We start from the raw sequence: 22,908 nt of genomic DNA on the forward strand, positions 1-22,908 counted from the left end.
AACAACATCAAATGGATTCACCTATATATTCTAATAAAGATGCTGAACGGATGGAGTTACTTTTCCCCACTGCCATTTTTACAGTGTGATCTCTTGGGTAATCATTCAACACCCTTAAAAAGGCTGATAAAAGCTAAGACTGCCAAATAAGCTGCAAATTTGTTTTATGGACTAATATCCCCTTGGGAATAAATAAAGTACAGTTTTTCTTGAAAACCACTGTACTGTAGTTTGCCGTTTTTATGGTCATGATAAAAGGACATTTTCCCCCTTCAAACAACTATATTAGGTCTTTTATCTATACACATTACATCAGAATTCCATTTCAAATAGATGTTTTGTTTAGGTTAAGTTTTAGAGCTGAAGAAAATTATGTATTATAATTAAAATGGAATTATAGATGCAAAAATACTTGATTTGCTCTTAATTTCTTTATAGGCTATTATGTAGAGTCTATTGTTTATAGGCTTTTAATATAATATTAGTGAGCATAAACAATAAGAGAAAAGCTTCTCTCAATGTATGTGTGTGTGTGTGTGTGTGTATATATGTATGTGTAACTGCACCACTCATGAATAAGTGTCTCTTGAGTATTTCAGTTTTTATTACCATTCACTCATGAGACAATCACACTTATTTTACATACAGTACATTTAGAGTAATAGCTTCCAATGTATAACATAATTCCGTTCCTTGATGTAGTTCTATTTTCTTCCAGCCAAAGCACGCAATGTTTTGAGCAATTAAATGTGTCTATTCTTGATTTTATAGTCTCTTATCCAAGCCATTGTTATAGTCAACTTATCTGACTTGTTATAATCACTTGACTTCAGTAAGAGAGAATTTTTCCTAAATGAAGTTCACAAGCGAAGACTTTTCTGAAAATTGTAGTTTGTTTTTACCCCAAAGGACACAGGGATAATTTTGTAATTAAGGATTAAGCAAAATGATTCCTTTAGATTTCTCAGCCACTCAAATATAATTTTAAACACTTCCAAGACTCTTTAGCAAATAAGCTACAAATTTGATGTCATTTTATAAGTTATCCCTCCTCAAGAGTACCTCCTAAATGAAATATATTTCACATTTATTAAAACAAAATTATACATAATAAAGGAAAAGACATTTTAAGCTTAGAAAGAGAAACACCAAACTAAGATGAATTGCAATATTGATTTTGCCAGGATAAATGGTTTTTGTAATATTAATATAAAGAAACCTTTATTACACTGACTCTCTTGGTACAGCCAGAGCTTCTCCCGCAATCTGTTTAAAATCTTCATTTTTCATCCTTATGGGAAAACCTCGCTTGCTAAATGGATTTCATAAAGAGTAATCTGTCAAGATTTATATAGATAAACAATTTGTGATGTTTATTGACCAGTTCATTATGGTAAACAAAACAGGAGTAAAGCATCACTAATCTCTGCCAGCACTTTGCTATGATAGTTCTCTTTGGACCCTTACATAACTCAGTATTTGCTGGTTACAATGGGAAAGAAGTTGGCCTCTGTCTCCTACATCACAAATTTCATATACCTTCCTTTCTTAGGAATTTCTTCCAGTTGTGGAAACAGTGAGAGAAATGGTTATCCTAATTATTACTGTTGAAACCTAACTATTAATGAAAGGAATATGTTTCAGTAATGCACATCATTGTCAGAAAATTCATCATCTGAGGGAGAACTGCTGTAGGAGGCCCAGAGATATATCCCAAGATATATAGGTCAATTTATTGACATTTCTCTTTGTACACCCCTCCTCTCTATGGGGCCTCAGCTCATGGGTACTATCAAATTGATTTAAATATTGATTGACATAAATAACATTCATTGAGGGCCAGCTATGTTCCAGGACTGGAATAAACATCAAGGATGTAGAGATGAATCTTATAGAATTGCCCCGGTCCTCAAGGAGCTCACAATCTCGTATGCAAGAAAAAACGGAAACAGCATTAATAAAGATGTATCCAGACTCTAAAGGTCCAGAAAAGGGGCAACTTAACTAGTCTGGTAGCAGAAGAAGGGATGGGAAGGGTAATTTTAAGTAGAAGTCTTGGAGGAGATGCTTGGGCTGAACGTTAAAAGATGAGTAGAAATAAGCCAGGGAAGTCGGGGAGGGGCAAAAATAGAGAAAAAAAAGAAAAAGCAGAAGAGGGTATGAAATTGCAAGCACCTCAGTACTCCTGGATGTAAATTCATAATGAGAAATGGTGATAGATAAACCTGGAAAGGTGAGCAGAAGTAAGATAATGCTACCTTGGGGCAGTGGCAAGGAGCAATGGAAATGAGTAGGATAGACCTGAGAAATGTTAAGTAAAATTGGTAGAATGGGAGGCCGAATTGAAAAGAGAAGGGAGGATAGGTATAAAGTTACTCCCGGTCTTCTAACTTGCTAATGGGGATGATGAAGACATCATTCAACATAAAGAACGAAGGAGAAAGAGATCTCCAATTGCTAAGGGATTTTAGATAAGGATTATTAATAAACAAAAGAGAATGAGACTTCAAGGCAAATTGGAGAAATTCGGCAGAGTTTTTTTGTTTGTTTTTGTCTTAGTTTTTTCCATCAGTCCCTAACACAAAGGCTAGCACACAGTAAGGATTCAGTAAATATTGTCGGATACAGGAATTAATAGTGAATAAAGCACCAGGGAAGCTTTAGACTTAGGATAGGACACCGGAGATTAATCCAAACATGGTTTGTAGCTCTAGTAACAAGTTAGCTCTTTTGAGCCCCTTTTTATTGGCTTAACTCTGTCCCCCTGGCTAACCTCACTCCCAGGGAATGGACAGTTTTCTTTAAGAGCTGGTATCTGTTCAGATTCTCTTAAACCAGTGTTCTCAGTTCACAGAATTCGGTGAGTGCTACAGTGCCCTCTAGAGGAGTTTGGTTTTCCCCGATTAACAGAGGAGCTGTGGTTTCATTGAGCTTCTTAGTTTCGCTTTAGTTACAGACTACTAACAGCATCTGAATTCTCTTGGAGATGGAATCAGAATTATAGGAGAGGGATTTGAGGCTTGGGCATCCACGCTGTGTGAACTGAAAGCCATATTTACATGGCTTATTGAACAAGGAAATACGAGTGCCTCATCTGAAAGGGAGACGTTAACAGTGTGCAACCCCACCCTCTTTGGTGAATTTCCCAGGCACAAATAGAGAAACTCATAAAAGCTGGACCAGGGGCAGTGACTCCCTTGCATCCATGCAATAGTGACAGCTAAGTCCAGGCAGCTTGCTCAGCAAGGTTCTGATCTGAGAACACTGTCTCTTTCTCCTTTGTTGACACTCCACATATTTATGCAAATAACTAAATAACTTTCAGATATGATAGCAGAATCAAATTTTTAAAGTGCTCACAGATAGAAGAGAGATTTCACTTATTCTCTATGGTCTCAGAAGGCATAAATAAGACTAGGCAAGAAAGTCAAAAGACTGCAACTTTTTGGTCAATATAAATAATATATTTCTATTTGTTGAAGAATTACAGCTGTTTGAAATAAACATGAGCTACTTCATGAGACAGTGAGCTCCTTTTAGTTCCATGTTTTGGAGCAGAAGCTGAATGGCCATTCACCAGTTTTTCTGAAAAGGTGATTTACGCAGAGAAATGTATAGGGTAGAGTTTAACCAAAATTACTTTTAAGGTTCTTTCCCAGTCTATAAAGTTATGATTCTATTATGCTTAGTGAGACTAATTTGTCCAAGGTGACAGTAAATCTAGTTACAAGGTCAGCAATCTTTATCTATAAAGGATGAGATAGTAAATATTTTAGGCTTTGCAGGCCATATGAGCTCTATTGTAACTCAACTCTGCTGCTGTAGCAGGAAAGCAACCACAGAAAATATGTAAAGAATTAACATTGGTGTGCTCTAATAAAACTCTATTTACATAAACATGTGGCTGACCCCCAGGCTATAGATTGCTGAACTCTGGTAGAGCAGGTCATATTATGCCCACGCCAACAATATCCAAGTTCTAATCCTCCAAACTTGTGAATGTTACCTTACTTGGTAAAAGGAATTTTGCAGATGTGGTTAAGGATTTTGAGATGGGGAGATTATCCTGGATTATCCAAGAATGCCCAATGTAATCTACGGTCCTTATAAAGGAAGGCAGGAGGGTAAGAGTCAGAGAGAAAACATGTAAGGACATAAGCAGAGGTCCAAGGAAACACTGCTCTGCTGGCTTTGAAAATGAAGGAAGGAGCCATGAGCTAAAGAATGTACGATGGGTGCGGTGGCTCACGCCTGTAATCCCAGCACTTTGGGAGGCCAAGGCGGGCAGATCACCTGAGGTTGGGAGTTTGAAACCAGCCTGACCAACATGGAGAAACCCTGTCTCTATTAAAAATACAAAATTAGCTGGGGGTGGTGCTGCATGCTTGTAATCACAGCTACTCGGGAGGCTGAGGCAGGAGAATCATTTGAACCCAGGAGGCGGAGGTTGTGGTGAGCCGAGATTGCACCATTGCACTCCAGCCTGGGCAACAAGAGCAAAACTCCATCTCAGAAAAAAAAAAAAAAAAAAAGATTGTAGGTTGCCTCTAAAAGCTGGGAAAATCAAGGAAATGTTTTTTTTTTTCCTAGAATCTCCATAAGAAACACAGGCCTGATTTTAGCCTAGTGAAACTCATTTAGAGCCTCTGATTTCCAGAACTATAAGATAATAAAAATTCATGTTGTTTTAAGCCACTGAGTTTGAGATAATTTATTCCACCAATAATAGGAAGCTACTGTATCTGGTCTAGTGGAAAAGACAAAACTGAAACCTGGATATCCTGATGTCCAGTTGCATGTTATTCCTATTACATCACGTTGAATAAATGCTACTAATATATAAAAACTGATACTTCTTATCAGATCATATATCATCTATACTAAGAGAGAATATATAGTTTGGCAGCCATAGGAGATTGCAAAAATCACAACTCTTCACCTTTCCCTCTGTGCAGGTCCTTTGCAGCTAACTGTATAATTAGTTCTACTCATCAAAAGGAGAGTCTGTTTATTCCCCACCACTTCCAAACATGGTTAAGCCTCGTGCCTTGCTTTGGCCAGTAGAATAAGGTAAAAGTAACATCCTGACGGTTCGGGCCTCAAGTGTCTTTGCATGCTTCTGCTTTCTTTCTTGGAAATCTGCCACTGCCTTGTGAGAAAGCCCTGCCTTGGCTGCCAGATGATGACAGGCTTGTGGCCCATTTACCCTGTCACCCCAGATGACAGCCAGCTGTCTGACAAAGAGTCACTGAGGAGAGGGAATCTATGAGGCACACTCCCTAATTTTTCCATTATCACACCATAAAAGGAAATCAGTTGACAAGGAAGTTATCTGCTTTCATCTGAAGTCATTGACCTGGTTCTCAGAGAAAAGACCAATTGAGATCAATCGGATAAAGGCCTGTGAAAAGATTACTGGACCAAATCTATAACCTAGTGCTGAAATGTAGAACATTTGCAGTAAAACCAAAAATAATCTGGGCATAGAAGAACTTCCCTGTATTTTATGCTCCAGAAGTCTGAGCCTTTATTCTCCCTAACCAGCCTTGGTGTCCTACCCTCTATGGACAACTTCAGTGTGTGTCAGCTAGTAAATGGGACAAATAGTGATACCACTAACTCCTTAAGGCTTAAAACAAGGTAACATAGAATATAGAGAGGGTATATCATTAGGGAAGAAACTTTTGGGGGTTGTGATGTGTGGTTGTTATGTAAGAAAACTGTGGGGTACCAGATGAACTGGAGCAGTCCTGGGGGCTATGGGGGAGAGTAGTCATAGTCACAGGTCAACTTGAGGACAGTGCCAGTAAGTGCAGGGTGTCAAATATGGGTCTCCACTACCAACTGAGATGAATTAAATATGGCCCATTTTTGTCTCATTGTTTTTGGGTTAGACAAACACTATATACTTTTTTGCATTATTGATTTTTCAGTGGGCAGATTTTTTTTGCTTCATTGTTTTCGATACTGATTAAATCATGTTTGCTTTATGTGTCAGAGGTAAATGGAGTAATGTTTGCACTAGGATCAGCTTTTTAAAATACATGCCCCCTTTTTCTGGTCAGTAACTTTTGAAGAATAAACCACTTAGATGGAAACAGGCAAATGATTTTCCAGCTTGGTCACAAAAAGTCATTGTTGTGTTGCCTGGATTTTTGTTGTTGGTTGTGTAGTTTAGGGCCGAGGTCTATTTTATTTTATTTATTTTGCCCTTGGGAATACAAAAAACTGTGTAGCAAATAAACCAAGAGAAAACAATATAGCAAACCTTGCTATATCCAACAAATAGAGCATGAAGAAGGTAAGGAATATGTGAACCAGGCAGATAAGGAAGTGAGGTTATTTTCCAAGTTGATGAAGAAATAATATGATACTTGTATCTTCCCCTTTCATAATAATAAGTTACTTATAATCTACTGTATATTTTGAAAATTAATGTTTTAATTTCCATTTGTTATAATTGGAATGTAATTTTTATAAATGTAAACATTTCTATTTGTAATAACCTACCACAGTGCCTAGATTTCAAAGTAGATTCAAATGATTTTGAATCTACTTTGTTTTCAAAAACATTGTTTTAACATTAGGACATAGCTGTTTTCCTATACTGCATATCTGTATATATTTACATTACATGTGAATTTTTTCCTTTAAAAAACAAAAATTTCTTATACTTGATGGAATCCCATATATCTTAGTCAATTGTTACACATTTTCAATATAGCCAATGTTGGTGTATATACAATAACAACCAGAAGTCAAAAAAAGATTCAAGAACGGTATCATTCAAAAGAGGAATGGAAAAACATTAAAAAGAACCCACTTTTATCTCTTTTCAATGTTGAACAAAAGTCCAAACTCAAGCAATTCTCATTGTCACATTTTAAAATATCCTTCTCCATGCCCTTCTGTGCTACAGGATTTCCTGTGTAATGATTATCAATGTTGAAGTGAAAAGAGACAGCTGAATTCATCAGTGGGATAGGAGGGTCAAGTCAAGTTACCAGCATTCCACACGACTGATTTAGTAAGAGACAAATCCTGCTGATCTCCTTGGGTCCCATATGGCCATGGGAAGCTTTATTCTTTCTATTCTTTTTAGAGAAGCTGCATTATATACAGTAGCTCTTGCTTTCCATAGCACTTTCCAGCAGTAGCCTGTAGACTCATTCTACTCAACAACAGAGCCAATTCTGCCAAACCTGAGAAGAATCTAAGCCCCACTCAAACTTGGGAAGTTTGGACTTGAATAATTATTTGAAGTTTTACGTCTTTTTCACCAAGATGATGATAGCATGAGATGGCATAAGACTTATTTTTATTTGGGTGGAGATGAGGAAGTAATGGTTAGTTCTGTGCTGACTATATTAAAAATGAAATGCACGAGGGACTTGCAAGCGTAAAACTCAGAGAGACAGCTGGCTACAGGCCTAGAGTGCGTGGCAGGCATCTGAATGGGTGATCATGTGTTTGAAAGCCATTAACATGTATGTAGTGGTTGAAATCAGGGACACAGTTGTGGAAATTGAAAGGACATATTAAAAAGGAGTAGCCAAAAAAAGAGTTAGAAAACAAATAAGAGAAGTAGAATCTTGGAAACCAAAGGAAGAGGTAATTTTAAGAAATAAATGGGAACAATGAAATGACCAGCACATTGAGAAACCATAAGTCATGAGAAGCAATCATAAATCAGTTTTATTTTTGTCTTTCACTGACCCTTTAAACATATAATATGGAGCTAATTCCCCCATGTTCCATGTGGATATAAAATGAGTTAGTCACTTGGCTTTTCTGGTCTTTCTCAGGCAATAGAATGTCCTACAGTTACTTTACATTGCAAAATACAAATTCAATTCAGAAAATAGAAAGTCTAATCCTGTATATTAGTCAACATTCCAATCTTTATTTAAAGAACAGACATTTTCAAGAACATACTTCTCTTCCTTTCATCAAGCTAGGACATGATAAAGGCAGCAAGTCTATAATCAGAGAAGGTAGCTTGGTTAGCCTCCTCCCTCACGTAGAGGCTGCAGGAAGGGTAGAAACTCACTTGGACTAGAACCACCCAAAGCAGTCTATTGTCTCTGGTCCTGCATATACATAAAACTGACTTATCACTGACAGTGGTACATTCCTGACTTCTTCATTGATCTTTCTCACCATTAGGTATCTCTCACCTTTTGTTTTAGTGCAGTCAGATGCATTTTCTTTTCGACTGGTTGCTTATTAACCTGTAGTCCACAGTAATCTTGTCCTTTATTCTACACAGGCCCCTTTATCTTCTAAGTGGTACTTTGAGCACAGACTAAGACAACCTTACCCTGTCTTTCTTCCTTGTGGTCTTCATCCGGTCATGAGAAATACGTAGTCTTCCTTGTCATGATGAACTCTGGGAGTCTAAGATATGCAGGGCACTGTCTTCTAGCTTACCTATCCAAACCTGGGTAGACTGTCTCTTCTCAGTTAGATTTGCCAGGTCTAAGATAGATATCAATGCACTGGTCTCTCCAACTGCAGGAGACACATGTCACCCTTCAAGGGATCAAATAAGACCTTCTCACTGGACTCAAGTGGAAAGCACCACTGACCCCTCCCTTTTTCCCACCAGTGAAACCTGTTCCCTCATTCTGTCTTTTCCTTAACCCATTTTTGTTTATTATATCTCTTTATAGACCTTGTCTTTGATTTGGATGAGAATTTAATAGTCACATAACTAGTTCTTGAATGTCTGCATGTTGCAAGTTCTGCTAACTTGTATGTTCTGCTAACATGTATGTACCACACATGGTGAATAAAGAATGAATGAGAAAGAAACAAAATGAAGAAGAAAAAAAATCTGATCTTTTATTTTTTAAATCATGTTTTCTTGAATCATAGTGCTCTTTTTAAATGTTAGTAAGTGAATGAAGAGTGAGAGATTAGACAATAACTTTCAGGGCTCATAAAGCAGGGCAGAATCAAAGGAAGGAGTTTGTAGAATGAATAGCATTTTTGTAGGCAGTTATGATATTACCTATAGAGAGATGTTTGAGTTAAAATAAAGGGAGGATTTGATGGAGCAAAGATCATGGAATGGAGGAACAAGAGTAGGAAAACAGGAAGGGATCATATCAAGGACTGGGAACAGGTTATTTTTAGGCAAAAATACACAGGATTTTCTTCTAAGACTAGATAAAAAATTAAAAATGTGTGACAATGTAGACAAGCTGGAGGTGGAGAAAAGATAATCTGGAGATACATATATCTGGCTTTATTTTGTCTATGAGCAGAGGGCCAGATTATCTGCAAGGGCAAGAGCATGGAATTAAAACTGAGGAGACTGGTAGGAGTTTAAAGGGGGAAAGAAAGTAAATTGATAAGAAGTACATACATGGTAGTGCTTCAGATCAGCATAGGCACATGATCTTTCCCCACGTCCTCACAGATCAGGGCAGGTGTAGGGTGATCGTCTCTGGAGCTGACCCCACAGTACAGCAGAAGGGAGCCCACAATCAGGTACTCAAAAGGGTCATAATTAAAAAGGTTTTGCCTCAGGCTAGAAGTAGAAGACAGTGAAGTTAGGGATGGGGTTGATCAAAAGAGGATTAAGGAGGGATAATGGGATAAAGATTAAGAGAAGTTAAGGAGCAGGTTATGTGAGGCTTCCAGGGTGAATTGGAATTGGAAAGATGTGATATATCCATAGAATAGCATTCATGGGATTAGGAAGATTTGAGAAATAGAGAAATTATAAGTGATCACAAAATCCAGGGTGTAGCCATGGAAATGGGTTGCTGGAGTGGGGAATGAATGAAGAGGCCAAAGAACTGCATCAGTACATGTCAAAGTAGTTTAAAATAATGGCAGGAGTTAGAAAAGGGAGAAAAATAGAATCCCTCTGAAAAGGAAAACCTGGAACTGGAAAGATAAGAACAAAGGGGATTGATATGGTTTGGCTGTGTCCCCACCCAAATCTCATCTTGAATTGTAACTCCCACAATTCCCATGTGTTGTGGGAGTAACACAGTGAGAGGTGATTGAATTATGGGGTAGGGTCTTTCCCCTGCTGTTCTCATGAGAGTAAATAAGTCTCACGATATCTGATGGTTTTAAAAAGGGGAGTTTCCCTGCACAAGCTTTCTTCTCTCTGCCACCATGTGAGACGTGTCTTTCACCTTCCACTGCAATTGTGAGGTCTCCCAAGCCATGTGGAATTGTAAGTCCCGTAAACTTCTTTCTTTTGTAAATTGCCCAGTCTCAGGTATGTCTTTATCAGCAGCATGAAAACGGACTAATACAGGGATGGAAGAAAAGTGCGACCATTTCCAAGGACAATTTGTAATTTTAAAAAGGTAATCTCACCACCCCCATCAATATAACAGGAGCCAACTAATATGTAAAGATATCCAAACTCATTTATATAAAACTTGTGGATCTTTTTGTTTAAAACACACACTCGGCTCAAGCCTGTAATCCCAGCACTTTGGGAGGCCGAGGTGGGCGGATCACGAGTTCAGGAGTCTAAGACCAGCCTGACCAACATGGTGAAACCCTGTCTCCACTAAAAATACAAAAAAATTAGCCAGGCATGGTGGCATGCACCTGTAATCCCAGCTACTCAGGAGGCTGAGGCAGGAGAATCTTTTGAACCTGGGAGGCAGAGGTTGAAGTGAGCCGAGATCACGCCACTGCACTCCAGCCTAGGCGACAGAGTGTGAGACTCTGTCCAAAAAAAAAACCCCACACTTAATCTGAATCATTCATATTTTTAGAAATCTACTCAGCTTCTCATACTTTAGCTCTATTTTCTAGACTCCAACCTGCCCCTCATTCTTTTTGCGAATCTGAAGTCTGCTTTCTCTCTCTCTTTTTTGCTTTTTTTTTTCTGAGACAGGGTCTCGCTCTGTTGCCCAGGCTGGAGTGCAGTGGCACAATCTTGACTCACTGCAGCCTCGACCTTCCAGTCTCAAGCAGTCCTCCCACATCAGCCTCCCAAGTAGCTGGGACTACAGGCAAGAGCCACTACACCTGGCTAACTTTTTATTTTTTACAGAGATGGGGTTTTGCCATGTTGCCCAGGCTGGTCTTAAACTCCTGGACTCAAGGGATCTGGTCACCTTAGCCTCCCAAAGTGCTGGGATTACATGAGTTAGCCATAGTGCCTAGACTGAATTCTTTCTTTATTGTAACTTCGGTATCTTCTAAAAATGTAGCTTATACCCACTTCTTTGGTCCTTCCTATTCCTTATCAATTTATGTAAACATTTAAATCCACCTTCTAACCCAGGGAATCTAGCTCCAGTGCTAGTCAGGCCTACTGCAGAGTGACAGGTGATGGAACAGTACTTATTAAGCAATTCTTGTTCCTGGACTAAAGTAAGGTGGGGAGTGAGAGTGAGATGGGTAGATAATGGGAGAGGAACAGAATGGGGTAAAAGGCTCAGCCACGAATTTAAGAACATTGTAGGGTAGAGGAAGCAGTGTAATGAAGGGAATCAGATCTCACTTAAAGAAAAAAAGTTAAGTGAAAAAGCTGAGACAATCAGACATCCCCAGGTCACTGAGCAGGCGTTTTGCTGATAACCCTGGGAAGACTGACAAAGGGGATGAGTAGAACAAAAATGGGTAATTGAATGTCACAAAATGGCACTGATGGGAATGAGTGTTGCAAGGAGGACAGTGGGTTGGGGAAGATATTTTTCTCCTGGTAAATGTGGTCAGAACTATGAAAAAGACAGAGGTGGCCAGGAGTGAAACAAACCAGCCCAAGAGTTCCAACTGGGGAATCTGTAGAATATTATTTCAAAAAAATTACATCTAGGAGCTAGTATGTGCAGTAACTGGCTCCTATTTTACTATCAAAATCCTGACAGTGCTTTTTATTTACTATTTACTGTACCATGCGCTTTGTATACTCATTTAGATGATTTATAATAACATCTGTAGAAAAGAGTCACAATGGTCTCAGACCATCAAGGTAACATTTCTACGGTGATAGAAGTAGAGCGTCACAGATTAAAATATATGCATGTATGTCAAGAAAACAAAAATTATTTTAATAAAATTTTAAATGATTTTTGTAGTTTTTAAAAATCACATCAAATTTTAAAAGAAAGTCAAAATGAACTAGTTTAAGTTCTTTTTCAGTAATTACCCTGTCACCTGTCCACCCTCTAATGGAGGTGTTAATGAGGAGTGGAACAGCCAAAAGGCAGGCAGCAGGGGGGCAATGAGTTTAAAAGAGCCCAGATAATCACAAACCCTGAAATAATTAGCAATTAGATTTATAAATATACACATATTGAGAGACAGATTTGACTCATTTTATTACATGCTTTCTGAGTTCAGCACACACTACTAGCTTCTCAGGGATAGGAGCTTCAAAGAATTCATAGATTTAGTCTGAACTTTAGACAAGCTCATAATCTCACTCTCTCTCTCTCTCTCTCTCTCACACACACACACACACACAGACACAGAATTGGCATTATAGCACATCTTCAAAAATACAGCAATAAACACAAATGAGTGAAGGCAAATGGCCACAGATACCCAGAGAATAAGAAGTAGAATATTAAAGAGAGTGTAACTTTGAAAAATGATTTACTTTCATAATATACTTTACATACTGAAAAAAATCATATCACAGAATACAAAGCTATGTTTCTCATCTGCCAGTCTTTAAAGCTAAATTAGAAACGCAAGGAAAATATAAATAGATGCAATGAACTAATAAATATGCAATAAATTCAAGGGCAATGAAGAACAAAGCACATACATATATCCCATATATATATATATATTATATATATAATATATATATATAATATATATACACAGAGAGACAGAGAGAGAGAGAGAGAGAGAGAGAAAGTATGAGTATGTGTATTTTCTTCTTCAGATATGTCTTTTCCTGTCTTTCTCCACATCCAGACTCTCAGCTTTTTGAGAGAAAATATATTTTATCTCATTCAACATTCCCAGATGCTAGGATGGGCCACATCTATCAATATATAGCAACCCACTCTAGGAAATATTCAAAGATTAGCATACATTAAGTAAATGTGGATGTCACGGAACAAAAAACATATCAATAACAAAAAAACACTTTTTTTTTTTTGAGACAGAGTCTTGCCCTGTCTCCCAGGCTGGAGTACAGTGGCGCGATCTCGGCTCACTGCAACCTACCCCTCCCGGTTCAAGCGATTCTTCTGCCTCAGACTTCTGAGTAGTTGGGACTACAGGTGCATGCCACCTTGCCCAGCTAATTTTTGTAGTTTTAGTAAAGACGGGGTTTCACCGTGTTGGCCAGGATGATATCGACCTCTTGACCTCGGACCTCGTGATCCGCCTGCCTTGGTCTCTCAAAGTGCTGGGATTACAGGTGTGAGCCACCAAGCCGGGCAAAAAAAATACTTTTTACAGAAGTTATTGCTTTGCAACTGCCAAAAAAAGTTAACTGTTGCTAAAGAAAGAGTTAAATTATTAAAGCTTATAAAGATGTACCTTCCAGTCTGAGGATCAAATCCAAAGTAATGGTCTTTGCATTGGTCACAACGTTGCCCAGCAATGGAAGCATCTTGGCAAACACACTGACCAGTCAGGCTATTACAGATGTGATTAACTGCACCAGTTGTATGGCATGAGCATGGCAGGCAGCCAGTGGCATTGCCTGGAGAAATATAAAAACCTAGAAATAAAGAAATTAAAAGTTTTATATATACTTTTTATCCACTCTTTTATTTAAAGCATAATAATTGATTACACAGAAAAACAGAATACTCTACCAAGGCACTAATTCCCAATACAAATGTGGTTATATCTGTCCTTCAGTGTGTCAATTATGACCAAAGAAAAACTGAGTAAATTATCTACATTGGACTTGGGTGCCTCCCAGGTCCTACAATTCAATGTATTTAAAATCTACCATGCAATATTTCAATATTTCTACAAAAAACTTGACCTCCTCTAATCAGCTCCATTCCAACAGATATTACCAGTCATTCAGTTGCTTTGCCTAGAACACTGAGGTACCTTTGGTAGGGCAGACTTATAAAATATAGGAAGCCAGTTACATTTGAATTTCTAACAAATAATGAAATTTTTTAGCAAAGGTGCAGCCCATGCAGCATTTGCTCAGACTAAAAAAAGTTATCTGAAATTCAAATTAAACTAATTCTGTATTTTACTAAAACAAAAGCTTGCATCCTCCACTTCTCTGACCCCCTATATTTTGCTAATTACCAAGTCCTATGGATGTTGCCTCCTAACAATTTTAAACCTTCCACTCTTCATCCCCGCTACGACCTCCCAGATAAAGTCACCAACCACTTTTTTTATAACTAATACTTCAAACTAGATGCTACTGTAGGGGCTTTATCTTGAGCATCTCATTTAGTTGTCATAGAAATGCAAATAATGCATGAATTATTATTACATCTATTCTGTCAATTGGAAAACAGAAGATTGAGAAGGTTAACACACTTTCCTAAAATGGTAGAGTTAATGGATAGCAAAACCCAGGTTTACACCCAGACCACCCAGTCCCGGAGGCCATCTCTTCTAATTGCATCCCTCTTGTCCTGTTCCAATCTATTCTTCGTAGCAGTCTTTTTCCAAAGTGCAGTTTGGACATTTCACTTCTCTATTTGAAACTAACTGATGACTTCCTATTCCCTTTAGGAAATAAATCCAAATCTCTCACTCAGCTTTCAATCCTACAGTCAGGTCCCAGCTACGTCTCTAGCTTTAGCTCATGGCTCATCCCCCCGCTCAGTCCATTGCAGTCATATTTGTTCCTCTTCTTGAGACCTAAAGGCCTTTTCATGGGCCGTTCTGTCTGCTGGGATGATTTTGACCTATCTCTGTTGCTCAGTTCACTCATGTAAGTCAGGTCTCGTGACTTCCTCAGGCAACTTTCCCTAGGCCAGGCTAGGTATACCTGTTACAAATGCATAGCATCCTGTTTGTTTCCTAAGTGTTCATGAAAATTATAATCAATCTCATTTCCACCAAAATCTAACTTCCATAAGGGCAGAAAACCCATCTGCTTCATTCATCATTGTCTCCCTAGCAGCCAGTACACTGCTTGGCACATAGTAGGCATTCCAAACACATTCGATGAACAAATAAAAATGAGTTCAATTATTAAACAGGCTGTGAGCCCTGCAAGTAGTACACACACAAAAAAAGCCTGCAGAATTTAGAGACTTTAGCTTACCTCTAAAACTCATATTTTTTTTCTTATGGAAAAAGGAAAGAAATACAAATATGATTCAAAAGTTTATTCAAATTACTTAAAATCTCTTCAGACCCAGGAGATGGAAGTTAACTGTTATAGAATTAGAAAGTTATCAGGCAGTTGAATGTGGAGCAGGCATATGAGGGAGAAATGGTTCTTAGTGTTGTGTGATGTGTGTGTTCATGTATGTGTACATATACATATACACACATGCACAGACCCATGGGTACACACACAAGCCCGTGCAAAATGCTGCAAAGAATTTTACTGAAACAATGGGGTAGAAGGATCACAGAAGGATTCTAATGAATACAGTTACAGCAAATAAAAATGAATTGTACAATTGTCATGACACTAATTTAAAGTTCATAAAATAGCAATGATATTGAAAGAAGGAGAGCATGAGCAAAAAGTGAATCTATTCTCTTATCTATTATATAGGGAACAGCAAAAAGTAATTAGGATACTCTAAAACTCATTCCAGGCTCTTGTTGAAAACAAGCCATTTTCTTATAGTTACCAACAATTGGGTTTTTTTCCTTCCCCTAGATCCTATACATTCTGTCTTACAAAGTTTCAAGGGCAGCAAAATAGAAAACATTGTGCTCAATGAGAGGAAAAGAAAGAGCTCAAAATATGTGCCATTCAGTTGGCGGAAATCAACTAATACTATCATTTTTATCATAATTTACAGCCAGGTTACGCTATTTGTTTATTTGTACCACCTGACAGCAATTTCCCTTATATATACATATCCAGAAATAGAGCATGGCCATGACAATTAGTATATATTCTTGTACCTGATTCATCACATGATCAAAGTCAAATTCAGAAGGCTTCCATTTAAATTCAAGGCCACTGTGGTTGTGATTCTTTGTATTTTTCTTCCTGTGAAGGTATCTAGGCCCTTAAATCCATGATGATGGCATCATGAATGTGCTAACAGCTCTCCAATTTGGATAAATTACCCATTAGCACAGATACTTACAAGTAGAATTAATTTAGACTTACTGCAATAGCTCCAAGCCACAGAGAATTTGGAAAAATTAAGGGTGATTTTTAGAAGAAATGATGTATTAGATAAACCTGTAAGTACAAGTAGGGGATAGCATTTTGGTGCAGAAGTTGGGTAGTCCAAGTTTTGGGGAATAAAGAATGTCACAGAAAAATCAGAAGTACAAGCAGAGAAGAACTAAAAAGATGCTAAAGCACCTAGGGAGACTGAAAGTGAAGGTAGGGCTTCCAGGAAAAGACTGCATGGGAATTTGCCTTGGGGTTAATTCCCCTCCTCCTCTCAGGAGCCTGATTATAAAGGTTAATCCCACCAGTATTTTAGCTGTCCTATTTTTAAGCAGTTCTAATTAGGATGACTCAGGTAACTTCCTGCTTAAAGATTACCTCTTGCCTTACCTGAATGTGCCTAATTCTAGACCATTACCTCCTTTTATGACTTCCAACTATAGAAAACAATCTTTTCCCTTCCCTTCCACTTAAACATCAACTCCTGAATGTGGCTTAATTATAACTGACCTCAATTTACTTTAATGTAATGCATTTCTGATACCCCTTTGTTAGCTCTTCTTCATGTTCCAAATCTTTATATATCTGTAGCATTGTAACTGATCATATTGAGATTTCATTCCATGAATGATTTTGTACCACATTCTTAAGCATGGTCATTAGGACAACATTATTACCTTGCATTACGTAGTGCTGAGAGTTCACATATACATGGTCCAAATCAGCTCGCTAGTTTATTATTTTCCCATATTATTTAGCTGACCCTTGGTTTTAGACATGACAAATCTCAAGTGGAAAAAAATGTATCATCCAGCTAAAACAAAGAGTCACCCATATTGTAAAATAGTGTGGCTTTGCCTAGGAGAAGAATCTACAGAGTTCAAAGTTATTAGCAAGGCAGCTGGTATTATCTCCTGCAGCGGCTATTTGCATAGCACAGTACTTGTCCTGGGCATAAAAGAAGAGCCCATTTCCCAGCAATGTCTCTCCTGAGGACCATGAACAACTAGGCTTTGCCAAGGTCTTGAGAGGGAGAAAGAAAAGAAGTGTAACCTCTAGGCTTTATTCAAGAAAGGAGGGCAATGCTGGGGCTAAGCACTAATTGTAAGACATTTAGAAGAAACTACTCTCACCTTAAGGCAGAAAATGGACATAATAGTTACACAAGAGCCTGGGGAGGGATGGGTGGCTCACCTATATCCATGCAACAAAAGACTATCTTGGTAATGGCTTTATGAATCAATATTTTCAATATTGTTGTATTGTTTGTAAACTATATTTCAGTATAGTTGATGATGGTAGTTTTCAAATTAAAACAATAATAATTTTCCTCCATTTGGTAGTTTTATATAAAATCACGCTAAAATTACTTCTAGACTTGATCAAGTGAATACATAAATATTAATATTATTCATCCCAAGGTATAATTTCTCTTTTTTAAAACAATTTTTAAGGGTTTTTCAATTAAATTAGGTATGCTTTAAATGTTCTGCTGTTATTTTTTTTTTCTGGGCTGCTACTCCCTTCTTGAGCAGCTTGCTGATTCCTATTTCCTTTTAAAAGTCAGTTCAGAAATCATTTTCTCTAAGTTCCTAAGACCCCTCATCCTTCAAGAATTAATCATTTCCTTCACTTTACTACTTCTCTATATTGTATATTTCTAATATGGCTCTCATCACATTGTGATACATTTACATGTGAGTCAGTTTCCCCTACTAAATCACAATGTCTTAGTATATTTGTGATTGTATACCTTAACACCAACATAGTCTCTGGTAATTTACTCAATAGATGTTTATTGAAAAACAGATGTATGAATGAAATGGATAGATAGCTGAATGGATGAATGGGTGGATAGATGGATAAATATCTTCTATCCTCTAAAATATGAGATGATCCCTTTAACACTGAAAAGGAAAATGGTAAACATAAATCTGTGAGTCATGAGAGTGGTTGGTCAGAGTGGCCTGTCCTATCAGGGAGTCTAGAGAGGAGTGTATATGGATCAGACACAATAAATTTAAAATATAGTGCTCGTCACAGCAACAGATGGAACAGAGCTGCAGAAAGAAAATGTCACCCTAAAACTATATCTTAGCTCTTAAACAAAGGACATAATAATATGCTCATGTAAGGGAAAACATTATTGGAATTTTCTGTTTCATAAATAATCCAATTTTTCTATTTATGTGAATACCCATGAAAGGCCCTCATTAACATATTCTCTAAGAATCAAATCCAATAACAACAAATAACCCAAATAATGACAACTCTGATTACATCTTGGAGATTATAATTAATATATGTATGTGTATGCATATTCAAAATCCACAGCAAAACTTATATTCTCTGTTCCCATTCAGTGTTTATCAAATGCATGCTCTAAAGCCTGTCTCCTGTGCCATTCCAACCATCTCCAGAATTTCTCCAACTAAGTTCTCGGAGATAATTCCATTTCTAGACCCCTTCAATTTACCTCATCATTATTTGAACTCTGTGGTTTCCCAGGACTCTGTTAATTTTCATTTTATGCCTACTACTTGGGTTTTGAACAACAAATGAGGTATCCCAGAATGTGAAGCAGTAAGCCAGAATCATGAGTTGAGGTATGCTTGAAAGTGGATGAAATAAACAGTATTTATCTAACTCACCCTCAAATATTTGTTGTGTGAATGTGTAAGATAAATATTGAGTTAGTTATTTAGAAAAAGTTCCACTCTTAGCTTGCAGTGAGCTGAGATCGTGCCACTGCACTCCAGCCTGGGCGACAGAGCAAGACTCCGTCTTAAAAAAAAAAAAAAAAAAAAGAAAGAAAAAGAAAAAGTTCCACTCTTTCAGAGTATACATTCTGGAGTCAGATGGACCTGGACTTATAAATGGCTCTTCTACTTAATTAGATTTCATTCCCCCAATTAGATTAAAATGAGAATAATCCCAGCACCTCCATCTTAGAAATATTGTGCATATTAAATGAAAGTTTGCAGGCAAAACCTTATCACAGAGCCTGGCACACAGCGGACTCTCAGTAAACATTATCTATTATCATCTTTGTAATTGTCAATTAGCAAGTTTTCTATGACAGAGAAATTTTTCTTATCAGTGTCTTTTACTTTTTTTTGTTTTCCAGATGTACCTAAGATTGTGGTCTGTATTTCCTGTGACAAGATTCCTTCCTGATGATTTATCAAGGAAGAGGTTCTTACTTTTAGATTCAGGTCTCTCTGTGAAAAACATGTTAACCTAGAAAGTTGTCTCACCAAACACTAGGAAATGTGGCATAATTGGATATCAACTTTGATGCATTGATTTTTAATGGAACATCAGCATCTGATTCCAATTCCATTGGCAGGGTCTTGTACACAATTCTAGTTTATGAGCTCATTACTTAATAAATATGATGTGCTACTTAATGAAACAAGATACTTTGTTTTATGAATTGTAAAAGAAAACCAAAAGTAAATACTAGGGGGAAGCAGGAGGCACTGCCCTATTAGTACAAAACATGTCATAGGAAGCTGTTTTCATTATAAATTAGCCTTTGTTTTATTCCAAAGCTACAGAGTCTTCAATATGCACTCTCTGCCTCTAGTTCTCAAGGACAAGGGTGGGTCACTGGCTCGGGATGCGTTGACATCCTTCCCTGCCTTCCTCGGCCTGGCCTCTGATTAAGTGCCTACTGCTGAACATTATAAGGTCATCCAGCACTGAAAAAGGGAACTGGGAAAACATATTTAGTGTTATATTTATTAGTGTGGATATGTGTACATTCATATATGTACACACACTCCAAATAATTTTAAATTAAAGCATTTTTAAAATACTTAATGGAGGTTAAGCAGCATTTTTAACCTCTGTTCAAGTTATTGAATGGCATATTAAAACCAATGTGTCTCTAATGTACCTTCTAATGTGCACTGCTGCTTTAACAAATTGCCTATAAATTTTACTTGAATTAAACCTATTCCTTGTACATTCGTAGTAAGGTTAGGTTAATAATACATGAGGTTTCATTACATGCACCTTCCTTAATAATGTTTTTTAGGAAAGTGGGACAAGAATCTATGTGCAGTCATCTACTATGGGTCAGCAGTATTTGCAATCACAGATGAAAGGGAGGCAGAAGTCCTTAAGCTTGCTACTCATCCCTTCCTACCCCATCCTTCTCCCTCCATGCCCCACTGCTCACACACCAGCATGCTGTCTGCCCCTGTGGTATATGATCTAGGTCTCTCAGACATGTTTAAATAAGTAAATGAAAGCTTCAGATTGTAGCAGCACATTTTACTGTGCACATTGCAGGGCTGGCTACTGCAAACATCTGTTTATGATAAAGATACTTCAGGATAAGGGTTTCTCTTTTCAATGCAAGTTTTACTGTAAGAGACCATAAAACCAGGAAAAAAAAAAACATTAAAGTGGAATTTCTGAAGCAAAACAAAAAAAATAAAAAATAAAAAATAAAAAAATGTCCACCCCAAAGCACACATTGCTCTTTTCGTGGGCTATGAATATGTGCAGACTATATCTTGTTTTGTTAAAAAATATATGATACTTAGGTCACTGTTATTTTTCCTCATTTGCAAGGTTGAACACAACGCTTTTCGTAAGTGTTGTGAAAAAAACACCACAGACCTTTGCTAGGCTCACACCTAAAAACAGGAGAATGCCACTGAGGTATTTTTGAAATATAATTATCCATTAATTCAGAAAATATATAGGGAGCACTGCTATGGAGGTACTTTTATACCTGCCTGAGATAGAGCATTGAACAGTTGTGAAGGACAGCAATGAGGCTTGTTGGCTGGAGAGGAAGAAATGATCTGAAGACTTGTGGAAATGAGGTCAGAGAGTTCATGGACATTATAGACCATGAGGATTATTAAAGAATATCAACTTTGTTTCTTATTAGCTATGGTGAAAAGCAAATGGAAGGTGGAGTGATGGGATGTTACTCAAGTTTGAACAGCATCACTTTGGCTGTCTGTTGAGAAGTGATGGAAGAAAGATAAAGGGGAGTAGGAGGCTACTTGAATAGTCCAGGAACAGAGGAAGGTGGCTTGGACCTGGCTGGTGTAAGTAAGGGTGGCAAGAAGTGGTCAAATTCTGGATATACTTGAAGGTAAAATCAGCAGAATTGGTTTTATTAGATGAGACAAAGGTTGTGGGGAAAAGAGAGGGCTCAAGGATGTCTGCAAAGATTTGGTCTGAAAAGATTAAAACCTCAAAAACACTAGGGGAACATTGTCAGTAAAACATGGTAGATTGAATAATGTTTCCCTCCTGAAATCCCCAGAGATGAAATAAACAAAAAAAAAAAAAAAAAAAAGAGAGAAGGAGAAAAATGACAATCAATTATAGATACCTATAAGAAAAAGCTAAGCTCTTGCAGTGGAGAGCCCGACAATAAGCTAATTTATTCAAGTTGTGTAACTCTAGACAGAAAGGTTTGGAATTGAAAGCCCCAGAGATTTCCGAAGTCAGATATAAGGTGTGCTAAATACCTTCCCCAACCAGGAAGTTGTCCCTCTTACACTTCAGGAAGATGCAGTAAGCTTTTCCTTTAGAAGTTAAACTAAAGAAAGTCTGGACTCAACAAGTATGTAAACAGGCATTATGTGAAAGGTTGCTTGTGATTGTTGATTTTATGCATCAACTTGGCTAGGCTTGGTGTCCAACTGTTTGGTCGAACATGAGTCTAGATGTTGCTATGAATGTGTTTGCAGATTTTCTCAGAACATAAGAACCATCACTGATAGGCAAAAGGGTCCACTGAGTGCCCAGGGATATAGAGATGGTAAAAACTTCCAGGTCGTTAAAAAAAAAAAAAAAAGTAGAAAAGAAGAAAGAATCTGATTAACATTGCTAACAGCTAATGGTACAACCATTTAAATTTTTTTAATGAAAAGTTTTCATATAATAGTAAAATTTCAAATCGTTCTTTATGTTTAGACACTTGTAGACAATAAAGACACTTCAGATATTCAAAATTTTCTCCTCAAATTACTTCCCTCCTTGTATTCTTTTTCAGAAGCTACTAGAACATGTGCTCTACCAAATACACAAATAAACCAAGAAGAGAGAACGTGTAGGATTCAGGAAATGGAGGATCCAACATAGGAGACAGGGGAAGGAAATCCCTAGTATAGCAGCAAATGTTAGCCCTTGGATATAGCTGTGCAACAGAACTAAAGATCAACCAGCCTGAACTTCCCACTCATATATCTAGTGGGAAAAAACAAAACCTGATAGATTTCTTGAACAGAGTTCCCTTGGAGAGTTTTGTTTCCTAGAAATGCCAAAGAGAGTCCTGAAAAACTAAGGAAGACAAATTTTTTGAGCAAAGAAAATATAGTCAAATCATATTATATGGCATAGCTGTACAGTAAATTTATATAGTCATAATAAAGAAATCTCTGAATACTGATTTAACCAAATAAAGGGATTGCTAAGCAGGAGGTGAAAGGAGCTAAACATTCATCTTCTATAGGAGGAAGACAATAGATAATATCTACATTTTAAAAATCAAGGTGAAATATATGTAAAACCCAGAATTACAGACATGAAAGCCCAGAATAAACATCTAAAGGAGTTGAAGGTGTTTTCTCTAAGCACGGAAATTCCTAGGAAAATGATAAGGCAGGGCTCTTTACATTTTATTTGGTTTTTTA

The 22,908-nt window shown here is 37.4% G+C and overlaps 1 protein-coding gene and 1 long non-coding RNA gene across 3 annotated transcripts in view; one reads left to right on the top strand and one right to left on the bottom strand.

Annotated features, from left to right (window-relative positions):
- Positions 1–19,568, top strand: part of USH2A-AS1 (USH2A antisense RNA 1) — a 44,314-nt gene extending 24,746 nt beyond the window's left edge. The window contains exons 3-4 of the long non-coding RNA XR_922596.4: positions 6,920–7,027; positions 19,368–19,568. This is a non-coding gene — a long non-coding RNA (USH2A antisense RNA 1). The remainder of the gene's footprint in view (positions 1–6,919; positions 7,028–19,367) is intronic.
- Positions 1–22,908, bottom strand: part of USH2A (usherin) — an 800,558-nt gene that overhangs the window by 595,577 nt on the left and 182,073 nt on the right. For both annotated transcript variants that reach the window (NM_206933.4, NM_007123.6), the window contains exon 14: positions 13,486–13,669. In NM_206933.4, the coding sequence (NP_996816.3) occupies positions 13,486–13,669 (184 nt within the window). The remainder of the gene's footprint in view (positions 1–13,485; positions 13,670–22,908) is intronic.

The sequence above is a fragment of the Homo sapiens genome, chromosome 1, assembly GCF_000001405.40.
Source record: "Homo sapiens chromosome 1, GRCh38.p14 Primary Assembly".
NCBI lineage: Eukaryota > Metazoa > Chordata > Mammalia > Primates > Hominidae > Homo > Homo sapiens.